This window comes from Homo sapiens, chromosome 15 (genome assembly GCF_000001405.40).
Source record: "Homo sapiens chromosome 15, GRCh38.p14 Primary Assembly".
Lineage (NCBI taxonomy): Eukaryota > Metazoa > Chordata > Mammalia > Primates > Hominidae > Homo > Homo sapiens.
The window spans coordinates 71,473,715-71,492,155 of record NC_000015.10 but is presented as its reverse complement, the minus strand read 5'-3'; the positions used below and the strand labels follow the sequence as shown (position 1 = coordinate 71,492,155).

Genomic DNA, 18,441 nt, shown 5'->3' with positions numbered 1-18,441 from the left:
TCAAAACATCAAGTGTAAAACATCCATAATATATAAATACATCTCACAGACCACCGAGAAAACAGCTAACATGCCCACAGAAAAACATGCAAATGACATGAACAGGCATTTCAAACAGGAAATAAAAGTGATAATGAAGAAGAAATATTCCACCTGACTTGTCATCAAAGGCAGGCAAGCAAAAATAAGATACTGTCTTAGTCCATTTGTACTGCTATATCAGAATATCTGAGGCTGGGTAGTTTATAAATAAAATAAATTTATTTCTTTTCTTTTTTTTCTTTTTTGAGACGGGGCCTCACTCTGTCAACCAGGCTGGAATGCAGTGGCACAATCACAGCTCACTGAAGTCTCAACCTCCCAGGCCTAAGCAATCCTCCCACCTCAGCCTCCCAAGTAGCTGGAACCACAGGTGTACAATACCTGGCTAATTAAAAAACAATTTTTTTTTTCAGATGGAGTCTCCCTATTTGCCTAGGCTGGCCTCAAACTCCTGGGTTCAATTAATTCTCCCAATGGGCCCCCTAAAGTGTTGGGATTACAGGCGTGAGCCACCATGCTGGGCCATAAATTTATTTCTTACAGCTCTAGAGGCTGGGAAGTCCAAAGTTGAGGAGCTACATCTGGCAAGGGCCTTCCTGCTGATGCAGACTCTCTGCCAAGTTCCAAGGCAGTGCAAGGTATCATGTGGTGAGGGGGCTGAGCGTGCTAGCTTAGGTCTCTCTCTTATAAAACCATTAATGCCCCACCCTCATGACCTGAGCTAATCCTAATTATCTCCCAGAGGTACCACCTCTCAAATACCGTAGTTGGATATCCCACCCTCTAAATACTGTAACAACGGGGAAAAACATTTCAACATGAGATTCAAAAGGGATCAACACTCAAACCATAGCAGATACCCTTCTTTAACTTTCCAAATTTAAAACATTAAAAATATGATCATACCCAGTGTTGTCAAGGGTGTGGAGGAAAAGGGCATGTTTTCACATTTTAGTAGTGGAACAGTCAATCAGCTTTTCTGGTGGACAACTTGACAAGTGCCATAAAGATGTTTACATCCCTTTGACCAAAGTAATTCCATTTCTTGGGCTTTATATTGAGAAAATACCATACATGCACACAAAAATGAACATGCAAACATGTTCACTTTTATGTTGTGTTAGTACAACAGAGTTTGGAAACCCTTTCTATTAAGGGGCCAGGTAATATATATTTCAGGCTTGGCAGGCCACCTGGCATCTATTGCCATTATTCAACTCTGCCATTGTAGCAAGGAACCAAAGACAATACAGAAACAAATGGGCACGGTTATATTCTAATAAAACTTTATTTCCGAAACAGGTAGCAGTAGACTGGATTTGGCCCATTGACCGTAGTTTGCCAACCTGTATAGTACAACTTATAATTAATTAATTTATTTTTTTGAGACAGAGTCCTGCTCTGTTACCCAGGCTGGAGTGCAGTGGTGCGACCTTGGCTCACTGCAACATCCGCCTCCTGGGTTCAAGCAATTCTGTCTCAGCCTCCCAAGTAGCTGGGATTACAGGCATGCACCACCATGCCTGGCTAATGTTTTTTTTTTTTTTTTTTTTTGAGACGGAGTCTTGCTCTGTCACCCAGGCTGGAGTGCAGTGGCGCGATCTCAGCTCACTGCAAGCTCTGCCTCCTGGGTTCACGCCATTCTCCTGCCTCAGCCTCCCGAGTAGGTGGGACTACAGGCACCCGCCACCAGGCCTGGCTAATTTTTCGTATTTTTAGTAGAGACGGGGTTTCACCGTGTTAGCCAGGATGGTCTCGATCTCCTGACCTTGTGATCTGCCTGCCTTGGCGTCCCAAAGTGCTGGGATTACAGGTGTGAGCCACCACGCCCGGCCTAATTTTTGTATTTTTAGTAGAGATGAGACTTCACTGTGTTGGCCAGACTGGTCTCGAACTCCTGACCTCAGGTGATCCACCTGCCTCGGCCTCCAAAGTGCTGGGATTAGAGGTGTGAGCCACCACACCTGGCCTATAATTTTTAAAAGTAGAATCACCTGAATGCCTAGCAATATGGAAATGGTAAAATATTTTATGTAAACATTACAACTTTTTTAGTGAAATGGGAAAATGCTCATGTGGAAAAAAAAATCAGGACACAAAACTGTAGGTTTAGAGTGATCTCAATCTTTCAAAGGAAAGAAAATATGTAAGCATGGAAAAAAGATTAGAAAGAAATACACAAAGATTTTAACAGTGATGGTGGTTTTAATTTTCTTTTTTAATACTTCTCAGGATCCAAATTTTCTATAATGGGTATGTGTTTTATTTTCAAAATAGAAAAAAAAAAATGTTTAAAATGACAGCAGCGGACTTCTGATGTGAAAATTATTGCATAAGTCAGCATTCTCCCGTCTTTCATGTGGAAATAACCCAAAAATGAGAACAAAAGAAAAAACCCACCATCTTCTATTTCTGGCAAAACCAGGAGACAAACATCAAATTTTTTTTAAGGGTTACAAAATGAAAACAAATTTTCTCCAGAGGTATAGAGGAGGAAATGTGGAGAAGCGGAGTAGGGGAGAGTCTAGAGGCAGCAGATTTCATAAAGCCCTAAAAATAATGCACTTCTGGAGTGTGAGGGGCACCTCTGAGGGACTAAGGCATATCCATCGCCTGCAGAGGAGTCCCCACAGAAGATGGTGAGCTGGGCAGCAGCTGGGGATAGCTCCTGGGGGTTGTCGGCCTGAGATTTATGCAATTTGGGGGGTAAGAACCTTTTAAAGATGAATAAGACAACATTTTAAATACATTTTAAATACAAAATTAGCTACAATGAGAGCACTTACTTAAAATGAGCAAAGAAATGGTAATGCATGATATATTTTACACCCACCACCAAAATCCAGAAAAAGAATATGATTCTAACAACTAGCTGCAACTAACTTATTGACCCAATTCTGTAACACTCCACACCTCTATCATATTTTCTTTCCCTATTTTTTGGCTACATAGTCATACTTCTTCACAGGAGAATAATTTTTAATATTCAGGAACTCTGAGAATATTGTTCCTATGAGCTTTTCTGGGGAAATTTCTAGAAGACGTACCTCAGCCAACAGAAAGGTGATGGGAGAAGCTATGGCAAAGGGACTGGCGGGACCCTCTGAACACACTTAACTGCAAATCTCAGATGACAGCAAATTTGGGTATTTGAAGGTAGAAAAGAGAAAAGAAATAAACTGAAGAGAAGCATAAGGAATTAATAAAAATAACATCAGATATTGGTGAGCTGGAATAACTCGCTAATAGTAGAATAAACAGAACTAAAAGCTTTTGCAGGGGCAAAATACATAATCTGCTAGCTAACTTAATCGGGAAAGGGGCGGGGAATAGTAAATACACAAACTAAGAAATGTTATGAGGAAATAACTACAAAACCTAAGTAAATGAAAAGAATCATAAAAGACTATTTAGCTAAACTCAAGACAAATACATTTAAAAACCTAAAAGAATGGACAATTTTTGAAAAAAAATACAATTTACTTAAACTGACTCCAGAAGAAAGAGAAAATCTAAACAGGCTAATCTCCATGGAAGGAAAAAAAAGAAGAAAGTTGCTAAAGAGCCTCATCTTCTAAGAAGTATGAGATTAAGATTTCCACCAAACTTTACAGAACAGGAAATCTCAAACTTATTTAAACTATTCTAGAGCACAGGATAGAATGGAAACGTCTAAGTTTTCTGACGTGAGCAATAACATCATGCAACAAAGATTTCAAAAATGAAACCGTCTTATGAATTCTTATGCAAAAATTCTAAATAACTTACTAAAACAGAATTCAGGACATTAGAAGAACGATGCATCCTAATCAGGTGGCATGTATGCCAGAGATACAGTTTAATATTAGGAGATATATTAATATAATTCACCATATAAATAAGTTTAAGAAGAAAAAGCATAATTCAACATCTATTCTTGTTAGAAATATTCAAATATATTAGAATGTTCCCTTCATATGATAACAATAAATCTACCGCTGCCCAAGAGCTTGCATCCTGCTGAAGAGAGAAATACAAGAAGCATCTTCAGTAAACTCAGGAGCAGGACAAGGATTTCACTCTTACTTTTGTGCTAGAAGCAGCAGCCTACATAACTGAATAAGAAAAAAGAAAGTATGTGTAAAAAATTTGATGAGGAGGAATAAAATTATCATTACTTGCAGGTGATATGGTTACATACATCAAACACCCAAAGAGGAAAAAAATTAAAACCACAGAAATAAAAAAGAATTTATGAAGATAAAGTATATAAAATTATAGAGAAGCCAATAACTTTCATATTTATAAACAATAACCAGATTCAAGATATATTGGAAGAAAAGATTCTATTTACAATAGCATTTTAAAAAGATAAAATATAAGTCAATTTTTAAAATGTTAAAGTCACTTAGAAAAATTTAAAAATATTTCTGAAGGTCCTCAACAAACATTTGAACAACATTCTTGAATTATATACCATTTAACATGATCTTACTTTGGAGCTAGACAAATATCTACATGAAAGATTCTAAGCTGGCCATAAGGGGAACTGCAAACATAAGTCAAAGAAGATTTTTTTCTATACCATGTTGCTTTGGCCCTTATACACTGGTTGACAGTTTCTTGCAGGTTACAGCTATCAAGATGCTCATAAAATCTTTTATATATCCCGAGACTTAGAAAAGGCAATTGGATTTAGCAAGGAAGTGGTCACTGTTGACTTTCCAGAAAACAGTTTCCACAGAGTAATGGAGCTGAAAACTAGTCTGCAGCTGTTAGCAAAAGCCATTCATTCCAGTGCTTAAGGAAAACAACACAATTTCTTGCCTGCTTACAACAGTGGGAACTGATGCAAAAATCCCACCTTCCATCTCCAAACAGAGAGATAAGTTGGATAGAATACACATGTACACAAATCCCACATCGCTAAATTCAGAATAAGAAAGGGAAATCCCAAGGTGTCAGAAATGACGAGGAAATGCAAGGTCAGAAGCATGTTGCACTGGCATACAGCTGAATGTCTTACAGTGGTGTGAGAACCCAATAAGCCCTGCAAGGCTAGGATTTTAATGCAGTTTTAATAAAGTTCACAACTGAGACTGTGGTCAACTACTTCCCTGGCTGAAAGGGAGCTACATCTGAGAGATTTTCTCAGAATAAAGCTAAAAGCTTTCTGAACTGGTGGGCAGATACTCAATAGGTGGTGTCTTCAAAAGCTTAGTTAACATAAATCCTGGTTTTGCAGGACCCCGAAAAGGCAAATTCAAAATATTCTCATAGGTACTCCTCTTGAGCCAGGGGGTTAGCTCCAGGAAAAGGACCCTGCTGCACTAGCTCACACTCCAAAATTGCAAAGCGTGGGAGAATTACCTCACCATGAGCCAGCATTCACAACAAAGAAATTCACACCCGGGAGCTGCAGATAAGGGGCCAATCTGAAGGAAGCTTTTAAAACTATTTCTAAAATGTATATAGAGGTGGACAGAGGAGTGGGAAATAAAAAAAAAAAAAAAAAAAAAAAAACAGAAAAGAAACTTGGCATTAGGGAGGTAGACAACTAGTTCCAATGAAAGTTTCAGTAAGATGTGAGCGATAACTGCATGCATAACCAAAATGGTAAGCCATGTATGCCACTTATGCCACACGTAAGTGAGAGAATGGGCATTTACGGATAGCTGATTATATACCAGGGAGTATCCTAAAATGTAACTTTCTCATTTAATTCACATAACAAGTACCCTGTGGGGTAAAATCATCATTCCCACTTTTTAGCTGGGCCTCGGAAAATTTCACTTTCCCAAGGTCCCACAAGTGGAACTGGAAGTGGAATCCCAAACTAGCAAAGGGGGAGAAACTACAGCTGTTAAGGAAAAAAATTCAGGACTTAATATCTCCAATGAGGCAGAAGAGGATCGAGGAAGGTTTGATTTTGAAGGAAGATGGATACCACTTCAACTCTGACTCCGAGAAAGAGATATTTTGAGATAGAGGGGAGGGTGTGTAAGGGTGCTCAAGACTGAATGTTATATCCTGCAATATATAAAACTCCACATGTCCCTAAACTGAAATCACCTCTTACTCATGCAATTATTTTAGCAGGAGAGGAAAAAATGATCTGACTTCAATTTGTTCAGCATTTATTTTCTAAAAAAGGATATTTGCCACAAGTAATTACTGCAAAGGGGGAGCTATTCCTGGTTAGAAAGTTTTTAATCATGAAGTGGTATTTGACGTTCTAATTATTTCCACAGCTTGAAAAACAAACTTGTCACTGGGCTGTAGTAATAACTAAGTATGACCACAAAAAGAAAGCTATGCACTGTTGATATACACGGCCACTAATTTTATAGGAATAACACTAAAATATTTACCAGTAAATATTTGTCATTCAATGAGAGGTACTGTTAAATAATGTAGGAAACAGTTTTATTCTCTCTCTTTTTTTTTTTCTTAAGAGCTGTGGGCCCTGGACAAGTGGTCTGTAGAGGGCAAGAGAAAGAGTCTAGAATCTCCAGGCACTTCTGTCTCCAATTTCCATTTTCCTTAGGCCTCCTTCTGCCCAGCAAGGCTGGTAACATCAAATGCTCTGGAGGCAATGGTTAGCTCAGTTTTCTCTTAATGATCTCAAAACATTTCAAAGTTGAATTTGTAATAAGTTCCTCTTCTACCACTGAACCACAATAATTCTGAGCCAAAAATAGTCAATGATGGTGAACTGTAATTCTACCCAGAAAGGAAAATAAATCACAGAAAAATTCTTTAGGGGGTTTCTAGTTCAACCTTCTCAGCCTAGGGATGGAGATCTGAGGCCCAGAGGTGGAGAGGGAGATGGCCACTAGGGGCAGAGCTTGGCCTAGAACTCATTTCTTAAGGTCCCTCATCTAAGGCTCCATACCATGCAGATGACCAGGTCAGACGAATAATGGCAGAACAGAAATACATATACAGATGTGGAGCCAGTGGGGCCTAGAAAAAGCCATCAGCATTAATGAGGATAGCAGGAGTGGCGGTAGTGGTTACTGATTAAACACCCTTAGTCAGCCCAGCCCTCTTTCTTCCAAATCTGGAAACACTAGCCTCTAGAGGAGCTGGGGAAAGGGCGGAGAAACAACGTATTTGAAGACACAAAATGGTTTAAATGTTTGTAGATCACCTAGCTGGTCAGCAATAGTCAGGGGTAGAAGAGAGGACTGGACCAGATGTCTGCCTCTGAGATGATGGGACGTCTTAAGCAAACTCAACCAGAATGCATTTTTTATTAGGTCAGAAGTCCTTGACCTCTTTTAAGTCCCAATGCCTCTAAATGATTTGGAGGGGAAACTTTGGCCCCAGGTCGTACTCCATCACAAGGGTTCACTTCATCACAAACTCCAGATGGCCACGGACAGGTCACTTCACGTCTCTGAGTTTCCTCTGTTTCCACACCTGCAAATGGGGGTTAATAAACTCACAGTTCTAACAACCTCAAAGAATTTTGACTTTTCAGAGTTCAGCCCCCGACTTTGAACCTTCCCAAGTTCAAACCTCCTTTTAAAGAGGGCTGTATGAGATCACAGGTATGCTGAAAGGATGATGAGGAAGAAGAGGAGCTTAGGTTGATAACGCTACCTTTGACAGCTGATTCGAGCTCTGCCTCAGGACAGGACAGGTTTGGTTTAAAAGCCAGGCTTCTGTGTAAAACACAAAATCTTTCTGAACCTTGGTTTCTTCAAATTTAAGTTTGGAATAATAATAGCACCTATCTAATCGAAAAAACAATGTAAGAAGAGACCCAGGGCCAGTTTCTTCTTCAGATCTTACTCATGAAAACAGCAGCATGTGGGCCCTTCTAAAAGCTAATTTAGAAAAGTAGAACCATTCTCTCTGGAGGTTCCTCATGAGTCAACTATGCTGGTGGAGTCAGTAAAATCAGCAGAGGGAAGTTTCCCGATGGTCAGAGCATCAGGAATTTCATAGAAAAATATTCCAAAAGTTTCCGTTCCAGACGGCAGTATCTCCATCTGAGTTTCAAATCCTGAGAAAGTCTAGGTTCACAGAGAAGCTAGTTAATGGGTCCAATGTGAAATATATACCATTCTGAGATATATTTGAAAGGCCGTTTCCTCTTTATAGAGTATTTTCTCACTTGTTCACACCCTGTGAAATAGGCAGAATGAATGGTGTCTCCCTTCCCTAGAGGAAGAATCAAGGCTACATAAAAAGGAACGAGATCGTGTCCTTTACAGGGACACACATGGAGCTGGAGGCCATTATCTTCAGCAAACTAATGCAGGAACAGAAAACCAAACACCGCATGTTCTCACTTACAAGTGGGAGCTGAACAATGAGAACACATGGGCAGAGGGAGGGGAACAACACACACTGGGGTCTGTCGGGGGAGGGTGGGGTCGGGGAGAGCATCAGGATAAATGGCTAATGCATGCTGGGCTTAATACCTAGGTGATGGGTTGACAGGTGCAGCAAACCACCACCACGGCACACATTTACCTATGTAACAAACCTGCACATCCTGCATATGTACCCCAGAACTTAAAATGTAAAAATAAAATAAAATAATAAATAATAAATTAAAAAAAGAACGAAGGCTGTGGAAGTTCAAGTTACTTTCCTAAGTAAATTGCCAACCAGTCAAATGCTCTTCTCATGAGACAGCGCCACCTCTCACTCCACTTGATCAAGTTTTAGAACATCATTCTCCCTGAAATAAAATGTCCAAACAAAAACCAAACAAGCCTTGATAGGAGAAACTTATAATCTTTGACCTATTATGAAACCAACATAGATTAAAATTCAAATAAGATGCAAGCCACACATTTACATATATTCACACGTATGAAGATTGAGGGGAGTTTATGAAGGTACTCAAGAAGAATTGAGGTATTGGAGACTGTGACTGCGTAATCAGTCTGAGGGACTCGAGCCTGTAGTCAGCCCAACTTGGCCTATGCATCTTCTCTCTTTCATGTTTCTCTATGTCCCTGGATGGTGCTTTTATTAAATATTAAAGATAGCTCTTTAATATTTTGTATTCCTTACTGTAAAAGATACTGTTTATTAGCAATCTTAATACCTATTCTCAACCTCCTTATTTTTTTTGTCTTTAAAAAAATACTCACTTTCCTAGTCTCCTTCATAGCTGGGATGGGCATGGCAATGGTTCTGGCCAATGAGATATAAGTTGAACTCTGCTGTGGGGGAGGGTGGCAGTTATGAGAAAGGTTTGCTTTCCTATTAAAAGTTACAGTACAGGCCAGGCGTGGTGGCTCATGCCTGTAATCCCAGCACTCTGGGAGGCCGAGGTGGGTGGATCACCTGAGGACAGGAGTTTGAGACCAGCCTGGCCAACATGGTGAAACCCCATCTCTACTAAAACCACAAAATATTAGCCGTGTGTGGAGGCGGCCACCTGTAGTCTCAGCTACTTGGGAGGCTGAGGCAAGAGAATCGCTTGAACTTGGGAGGTGGAGGTTGCAGTGAGCCAAGATCGAGTCACTGTACTCCAGCCTGGGCAATAAGAGCAAAACTCCCTCTCAAAAAAAAAAGTTGGCTGGGCACGGTGGCTCATGCCTATAATCCCAGCACTTTGGGAGGCCGAGGCAGGCAGATCACGAGGTCAGGATATCAAGACCATCCTGGCTAACACAGTGAAACACCATCTCTACTAAAAATACAAAAAATTAGCTGGGTGTGGTGGCAGGTGCCTGTAGTCCCAGCTACTCGGGAGGCTGAGGCAGGAGAATGGCGTGAACCCAGGAGGCGGAGCTTGCAGTGAGCCGAGATCGTGCCACTGCACTCCAGCCTGGGCAACAGAGCAAGACTCCGTCTCAAAAAAAAAAAAAGTTACAGTACAGTCCTTTCCATCTTTCTGTCTGCCTTGAACTCAAATATGATGGCTGGAGCCACAGGAGCCCTCTTGAGACCATGGGAGAATCAGTAGAGATGATACCAGTGTTAAGCCACTGAATCAACTGTAGTTACTGTCTACCTTCAGACTTCTTGTTATGATAGGAAAGTAAATCCCTCTTGGTTTAAGCTGCTATAAGTTGTTACTGTTACTTGAAACCAAACACACTGATCAGACTATGGCCAGAAGGAGCAGGGATTATTTTTTTACCCCATGTTTTCTAAGTTGGCTCCACATGTTGTTGCTGGACTTTGGGAAGGGCACTTATGGCTCTGAGCAATTATTCTGGTGTTTAAAGCCAAAAGGCTGAGTTTTCAAGCAATGACTGGAAACACATAAAGAATCCCTGCCTTTTCAATATTTACTTAGAGGGAATTCACTCAAAACATGTATTTATCAGAAACCATGGTGTTCTCATAAATGTCTACAGAAGGATTGATCACTTAATAAGGTGAGAAAATAATACTCTAGCCAATAGAAATAATGAAATGGTTGTTCTATCCAACTATGAGCATATACGTACACATCTTGTCCTTCTTTTTCTTATTTCTTTTTAGGTAATTACAGGCTTAATGAACAAATGAAAAGGGGAAAGAGGCTAGAGCATGAAGAGGGGCAAAAAGGAAGGACTGGCTAAAAGGAAGAGAAAAATGAGAGTTGAGAAAGAAGGTCTTCTCTTCTCCATCTGGGCTACGTGTATCTAAGAAATTACTTCTCCACTACCACTGCCTGCTGGAATTCAGTGAAGGACTTAGCTACTTAGAAAAATCCTTGTGGTTCAGTGAAAGCATCAATCTACTTGTATTTTCAAACTTTTATGTCTATTTTTAAAAACTTCATCATCCCAGAAATTCTCAAAGTTTTATATACATAAATATATATGAAGGAATGACTCTGATTTTATAAGCATACTTAGAAACAAAGAAGTAGCTATTAGTACTTTCCATAGAAGCCTAATAATATAGTATTCCAAAAACATCAGATTACCTTATCCTGGATCTTTGAGAACTAATCGAGGCTTCTTTTATCACAGAGTCTAAATGTTACATTTAATGTGAGAATTTTTCACTTTTTAGAGCTTTTTTTCTTCCAATCAAATGCAGGTTTTTATTTGTTTGTTGTTGGCTTAGTGAGCATCCTCCTTTTTCCCTACCCCAAAACAATCTAACAAACTGCTCTGTTTTTAAACAAGTCTAACAAGGGTGGTCTGGTCACAGGCATAAAAATTAAAACTTTGTATACTATTTGACATTGGACCAAATTTCAGTTCTATGAATCTATAAAAAAAGTCAATCAGGTATGTAAACTGCATGCATGGGGTGTTCATGGATGTGTTTACAATGAAAAATGAAGATAGACTATGGTAGAGTTGATGAGTGTTTGAAAATATTTTACTATCCACTGCGCTCCTCTTCACAGGTCCAGTGCACTCCCTGCCCCCTGACTTTAGGCTGGGCCACGTGACTTACTTTGGCCAATGGAATATTTGTGACTAAGATGCAATGCAAGGCTTGAAAAACATTTATGTGATTGGGCTTTGCACTCCTGCACTTTTGTCAACTCTAGCTGGCAACGCGATGAGAAGATCCCAGGAAGGGTGTAAGAGGCTCAGGGAGCAGAGCCCGCTCCACCTCATTATGTACCAATACCACCTCAGCCATGCTGAAAACTCACGAGCAAGAAGGAAGTGCTTATTTCTATCTGCCTTATTTTTGTAGTTGTTACGCAGCAATATTATGGCAAGAGTTAACAGATATACAACTTAAATTTCAAAAAATAGGGAATTTAATAAATTGCAACACATCACATAGTATTAAACCGTCATTATTATTAATGACAATGATCTATATTTATATATACATGGGATATGTCTAAAACATTAACAAAAAAAGTGGCGGGGCATGGTGGCACATGCCTGTAATCCCAGCACTTTGGGAGGCCAAGGTGAGTAGATCGCTTGAGCTCAGGAGTTCGAGACCAACGTGGGCAACATAGTAAGACTTTGTCTCTACAAAAAATAACAAAAATTAGCCAGGCATCCTGGCATGTGCCTGTGGTCCCAGCTACTTGGGAGGCTTGGGTGGGAGGATCGCTTGAGCCCAGGCAGCGGAGGTTGCAGTGAGCTGAGATCCCACCACTGCACTCTAGCCTGGGTGACAGAGCGAGACCCTAGCTCAGGAAAGAAAGAAAGGAAGGAAAGGAAGGAAGTTACAAACAATGTATGTCCAGCATGAATCTCTTATTTTATACAATATAAACACATATGTGTGCTTACACACACAGAAAAGAACCTGGACCGAAATACACAAAATGTTAACAGTGTTTCTCTCTGAGGGGGAAGAATATAAATATGTTCACTTTTTTCTTTCTCAATCACTATTTTTTGCATTAAAAAACTCATAGCAGTTTTAAGTGCAAATGAAAATAATAAAGTTATAGAGTTTTCTAACTGTAAGCTGCCAGGTATCACTGGCCTTCAACAGGAAACACAGTTTTTTTTCAAACCTTCTCCTAAAGAGTGAAGGGTACGTACTTTTAAAATCTGGCAACTAAAAGCTGAAGTATGCTTCAAAATTTAAACCAAATCCCCATCAACATATAAAAAACAGCCCAGCCTGTTTCTTCCCCAAATTTGTCTGTTTATTCCATCGACTAATGAAAAGTCTCTGTTTCAGACTCCGAGATGCATATCTGTGAATTAGTGCTCAGTTTCCCAAAACTAAAGTTAACCTTCTTTCCTGCCTCTCACTCTTCATTTGTCCTTGATCCTTCCATAAAACCCCAAATCCAGAAGCAATGATTAGGAAACTGCAGACTCTAGTAAAAGTAATTTCACTAGTGTCAGAGAAAGAGAAAGGTTACCCAATTAAAAGAACTAAGGCTTGGCATCAGAAACAGAAGTTGTGAACATGACAAATAACATGAACAAATGGAGATGGAGAATGTTATTTAAGCCTAATGGGAATCGGTGCAAAATATGTCCATCTAGTACCTTACTCAGGTAGGGGAGTCATTGAAAACACCTGACAAAAAAAAAAAAAAAAAAAAAAGGCAGAAGAAAGAAAGTAAAGAAAAGCCACCAGTGAACAAGTGATCAGCATTTACAGATCCCAGACATGGCTTGCCAAAAAAAAAAAAAAAAAAAATACACTCTGCCTAATTTTCCTGCAGGTGTTTCTGTTCCCCTCGACTGCCACTGCACTACTGGGGGCCCACAGCTCTCTGGTGTTAAGGATTATAGTTGTTTCAGTTAAAGGATACAAAGCAGACCTGTGGTTTCAGGAAATATTAAAGACCTGTTCACTTGCAGAAAAATGACAGAAACTTTCATCTCTGTTAACCAGCAAACAGTCCCTTTTCTAATGGCCCATTAGGGAAGCCCAAGAGGAATAACCTCTCAGAACACTTTGCCCAGTGTCTGGAAAAGGCTCATATGATTCTCGTCCTTTGTGGTCCCCTCATTTGGTTGCCAGAGTCTTCCCTTTATCAGAAATACAGTCCCCAATATTTTATTATTGCACATCCCATAATTACTCTTGGCATAACTGTGTTTTAGGCCACATAGAAGTGATCTGAATTTTGGCTGCTACCTACCATTGAAATTCTTTCTACTTGCCTCCTACTGACATTCAAGGTCTAAATCTCTCTTCACAATGCTGCACTATTTTATAACAGGTTACTACAGGTGCTGTTGTGACTTTGATTTTGTTCATCTTTTGGGTGGAGTCCACCAAATCGGGTTGTCTATAAAAAGTTGCATTTTTCTGCTTAATAAATAGATCCTCACAGATACTGTATGCATGTGTTTATTTACTAAAATATGAGAATAGGGGATATAATTCTGCATAAGTTATGTCCTACTTTAAAGAAGATTTACATAAATATATGTAATAATACCAAATAAAATAAATTAAAATAAGTAGACGAAGACACAAGAAAGTCAGGAATGGAGTTAGCATACAACATCTATTTTTATACCTGCTTATATACTTCCTAGAGGCAGGTCTGGGCTTTCTGATGTAAGCTATAATATGACATGGCATTCACAGAACCAAAACGGCCTCACTTGCTCAGGATGAAAATATCTAATCCTACGCAGCCGACCCCAGGGGAAATTTCTCCCATAGGTTCTCATTAAGATGCTGTTATGGAATGTAATGAGCAACATCTTTAAGGAAAACATTGTGCCAAGGCAGCAAGCAGTTGCACAGGTCTGCTTCTTGCAGCAGCCTCCAAGCCTTGGGGCTTGAGCACACCACCTCCCCATCCTTGGGGACCAGAATTGTTGGATTTGGGCACACAGCTCTGCTACATCGTGCCAGATTTGAAAGCAAGCAGTGAGATAGTTTGTTATGATTTTTTAAGCTGCAGAACCCTGTATTCAAGTGAAGATTTACTTGGGTGTGGGAATCACAGAAGGAGAAGCAGGTTCAGCATGGTGAAGAGGGTGAATAAAGTGACGGTGTGAGGGATGCTGATGCAGGGCAGGAGACGGGAGGAAGATCTGGGCTGCACTGGTGGTGAAGACTGGAGAATGGTCAGCATGAAGGTGGAGGCTGAAACAATGGGAGAAGAGCTGACCCAGCTAAGGAGGTGAGAACAGGAGGGGCTGAGGACCTACAGATAGAAGAGTTGCTCAAGAAGAAAAGGAAGCAGCAGCTTTTATTTCTTTTTCCATAACATGCAGCATAATGCTCCCAATGTGGCCTCCATACTCCTAATCCCACTCCAGTAACTTTCAAATGTCTCTTGCTGTCCGCCCGTCCTTTCATCTTCCAGGCACAAGAGCTGTCTTCAGGGTGGGGAAAATGAATTCAATACCCAGGGCCTGCGGGGCAGCACATCCACTTCCTCTACCTCTGGACTCCTCTGGGCAACTTCGAACCATTCTAAACACGGTTTTGCACACATATGCTCGGAGCTTTACTAGCAGTCTGTTTATGTTCTCATTTGATTTCACATTAAACAGAAGAAGACCCCGTCTGATAGGAACCAGTGGCGTCACACCCTCACACATTTGGCCCTGGCTGGCTCCGTGCACGTCTGAAGGAGGGCGTGTGGAGCTTTTGCCTCGTTTCAATGCCTTGATGTTGTAGCTCTGGTTTCTGAAATGTTCTTTTGTAAATCAGGAACTGTACTGCAAATTATCTGTATGTTTACCTTGGTGAACAGTGCTATTTGGGGGACTTAATTTGCCTAAGCATGAAACCTGAGTTTGCACATTGCTGGGAGGAAATGAGAAGTTCTCCCTGCCCCAGGATGGGAGGATGCCAGTGCGCGTTCACTCATGCTCACCCTATAGAAAAGGATTGGAAACCTATGTCGGCCCAGATAACTGATGAGGCAGCTGGGGCTCCTGAAGGCTCACTTTTCCAAAAGTAAACGTTCCAAAAGTTTCTTGAAGAGTCTGAGGGATGCTGATGCTGGGTAGAGATGGGGAGAGAGACCTGGGCTGCACTGTTTCTTGAACAACTGCTCAGCAGAGAGTTTGGTAATGATTCCGCTGTGAGCTCTCTTCTTGAGGTGCTAAAAGAAAATAGTATTAGCTTTAGCTATAGATTTGGACCTAGAGGTTGCCTTGTTGCCTTGAAGACAAACAGGACATTCTACAGCAGCTGCCAATCTGGAACACTGGAAATTGTCTGAAGGGAGCTAAGGGCAGCTGAGTATCAGGGATATACAAGGGGTTGGCCAGGCATGGTGGCTCACACCTGTAATCCCAGCACTTTGGGAGGCCGAGGTGGGTGGATCACTTGAGGTCACGAGTTCGAGACCAGCCTGGCCAACATGGTGAAACCCTGTCTCTACTAAAAATACAAAAATTAGCCAAGCATGGTAGCAGGTGCCTCCCGCTACTAGTAATCCCAACTACTCTGGAGGCTGAGGCAGGAGAATCGCTTGAACCTGGGAGGCGGAGGCTGCAGTGAGCCAAGATTGTGCCACTGCACCTCAGCCTGGGTGATAGCACGAGACTCTGCCTCAAAAAAAAGGAATATACAGCCGGTGGAGAAAATAACCATTGGAATAGATAGGAGATGGGGCAAACAATTATCCCAGCTATACTTCTTGGAATGACCATGATGGATCAGGCCCTTTGCTAAATACTTTACATACCTATGTTACTTTATTTGGTCATCACAAAACACTATGATTTAATCCCCATTTTGTAGACAAAGAAGGTGAGGCTCGAGAAGATTAATAAACTTGCCTAAAGACACAGTTAGTGAATGGCTGAGTGGGGATATGAGCCCAAAGCCCATCTCTTAGCCACTTCTTTTAAAAAATAAAGAATTTTTTTTTTAATAGACAGGGTCTCACTTTGTCACCCAGGCTAGAGTTGCAGTGGCATGATCCTAGCTTACTAAAACCTTGAACTTCTGGGCTCAAGCAATCCTCTTGCCTCAGCTTTCCAAGTGGCTAGGACTAGAGGTGCACACCACTATGCCCAGCTAATTTTTAAAAAACGATTTTGTAGAGACAGAGTCTCATTATGTTGCCCAGGCTGGTCTCGAACTCCTGGCCTCAGACAAACTTCCCGCCTCAAGCTCCCAAAGCACTAAGACTAAAGGCATGAGCCACCACGCCTGGCCGCCATTTCTTTATGCTTACTCCCTAACACCTGCTACTTAGAGTGTGGTCCTTGGACCAGCAGCAGCAGAATTACCTGAGAACCTGTTAAAAATGCAGACTCTCAGGCTCTATCCCAGACCTCCTAAATCAGGATCTGCATTTTAACAAGATCCCCAGATTTACGCCACCAAATCTGAGAAGGATGACCCTAATACACCACCACTGTCTGGTGAATCAATAGTCATTGAAGAGGTATGTTAAACAACCACAAGCCATTTTTATAAATAGAAAATTGGGACAACAAAATGGGGAACAATTTGGCAATATCTATGAAAATTTGAAATGCATGTTCCTTTTCCACAAAAATGCTATTTAAAGGAATTTATTCCTCTAATAAACTCACACATATGTGCAGAGATCTATAAACAAAGGTTCATGAGACAGGCTTTCAAGAGGAGACAGATGGCACATTCAACTTAACGACTATCTGAGGCTGGCTTCGTAAAGGGATTATTAGTAAAGTTATAGGTTAGGGCATAAGAGGAAGGCATAATGCAGGGAGTCTCAAACTTGAGTTTGCATCAGAATCATCTGGAGGACTTGGTAAACCACAGACTGCTGGACTCTACCCTCAGGGTGTCTGAATCAGTAGTCGGTCTGGGGTGGGCCTGGAAATGTCCATTCCTAACAAGTTCCCAGGTGATACTGATTTTGCTGGTCCTGCAACCGCACTTTGAAAATCATCTGCATAGTGAAGTAAGCCAGAACTAGAGAGAATGGAGGGGATACTCCAGGCCCAGTGAGTCAAGGGAAGAGAGAGATTGCTAGAATCCAGAAGGAGATGGTCAAGTAGAGAAAGCAACCTAAGATGTCCTTGCAAGGAGAGAGCCAAGGGAATAAATACCCCAACCTCACTCTCCTCCCTCCTCCTGTCTCATGTGGGGCTGAACCCAGAGGGAATCTAGGAGGAAAGATTTGATGATGCAATTCACATACAGCAGCCTTCTGCAGACAGAGAGCATAGGATGAAAGGATGGCTGACAGATCTGGAGAAGTGAGAAGAAAACAGCTGGTACAACGGTGGACTGGTTGCATGAAACCATGGAGAACTCTGTACTTGCAAGCAAAAATAAAGTAGAAGGCCAGGCGCGGTGGCTTAAGCCTGTAATCCCAGCACTTTGGGAGGCCACGGTGGGTGGATCATGAGGTCAGGAGTTCAAGACCAGCCTGGCCAAGATGGTGAAACTCCGCCTCTACTAAAAAAACTACAAAAATTAGCCAGGCACAGGGGCAGGCGCCTGTAATCCCAGCTACTAGGGAGGCTGAGGCAGGGGAATCGCTTGAACCCAGGCGGCAGAGGTTGCAGTGAGCCGAGATCACGCCACTGCACTTCAGCCTGGGTGACAGAGTGAGACTCCATCTCAAAAAAAAAAATAAAATAAAATAGCAAGATGCCAAACAATATGTGCTGTAATGTTCCCATTTGTGTGCAAATAATGCAGAATGTCCCTGTAAAGGCACAAGAGGCTATGAACAGTGACTGCCTCTGCCTCTGGGGAGCAGACTAGGACACTGGGATTCCCTGAATGGATAAGGCCTGACCATGGATGAGGTCATAGGGTTCCAGGTATACCTGACCTGCGATCCACATGAGGAGTCAGTATCAAGAGACTGCCCAGCAGTGTCCAGCACAGTGAGATCCCGGGATGCTTTGAAAACCACCATATAGGCCCTGCCCTAAATTCCAATTTAATTGGCCTAAGGTAGGACCTGGGCTGGTAAGTAAGAATGTGCCCAGGTGATACTGACTATGCTGGTCACTTCCACTGGTGAGAACCTTCCACTGATGGTGGCCTGCACATCTGTATGCATCGCACAGCATGCATGGGGACTTTGCTAGCTCCATTCAAACTACTCCAAGCTTCAATGTCCCTTTTTTCAACAGC

General features: G+C 41.4%; 1 protein-coding gene and 1 long non-coding RNA gene across 8 annotated transcripts in view, besides 2 other annotated features; one reads left to right on the top strand and one right to left on the bottom strand.

Moving 5' to 3' along the window:
- Window positions 1-13,713, top strand: part of LOC107984716 (uncharacterized) — a 46,156-nt gene extending 32,443 nt beyond the window's left edge. Inside the window, exon 3 of the long non-coding RNA XR_001751787.2 lies at window positions 10,483-13,713. This is a non-coding gene — a long non-coding RNA (uncharacterized LOC107984716). The remainder of the gene's footprint in view (window positions 1-10,482) is intronic.
- Window positions 1-18,441, bottom strand: part of THSD4 (thrombospondin type 1 domain containing 4) — a 686,490-nt gene that overhangs the window by 291,228 nt on the left and 376,821 nt on the right. The gene's annotated exons all lie outside the window — the stretch shown is intronic.
- Window positions 6,787-6,866: a silencer, noted in NCBI's record as "silent region_6615". NCBI's record gives its function as "represses an Ori minimal core promoter by ATAC-STARR-seq in GM12878 lymphoblastoid cells {active_cell/tissue: GM12878}" and the evidence as "EXISTENCE:reporter gene assay evidence [ECO:0000049][PMID:35858748]".
- Window positions 14,964-15,053: a silencer, noted in NCBI's record as "silent region_6614". NCBI's record gives its function as "represses an Ori minimal core promoter by ATAC-STARR-seq in GM12878 lymphoblastoid cells {active_cell/tissue: GM12878}" and the evidence as "EXISTENCE:reporter gene assay evidence [ECO:0000049][PMID:35858748]".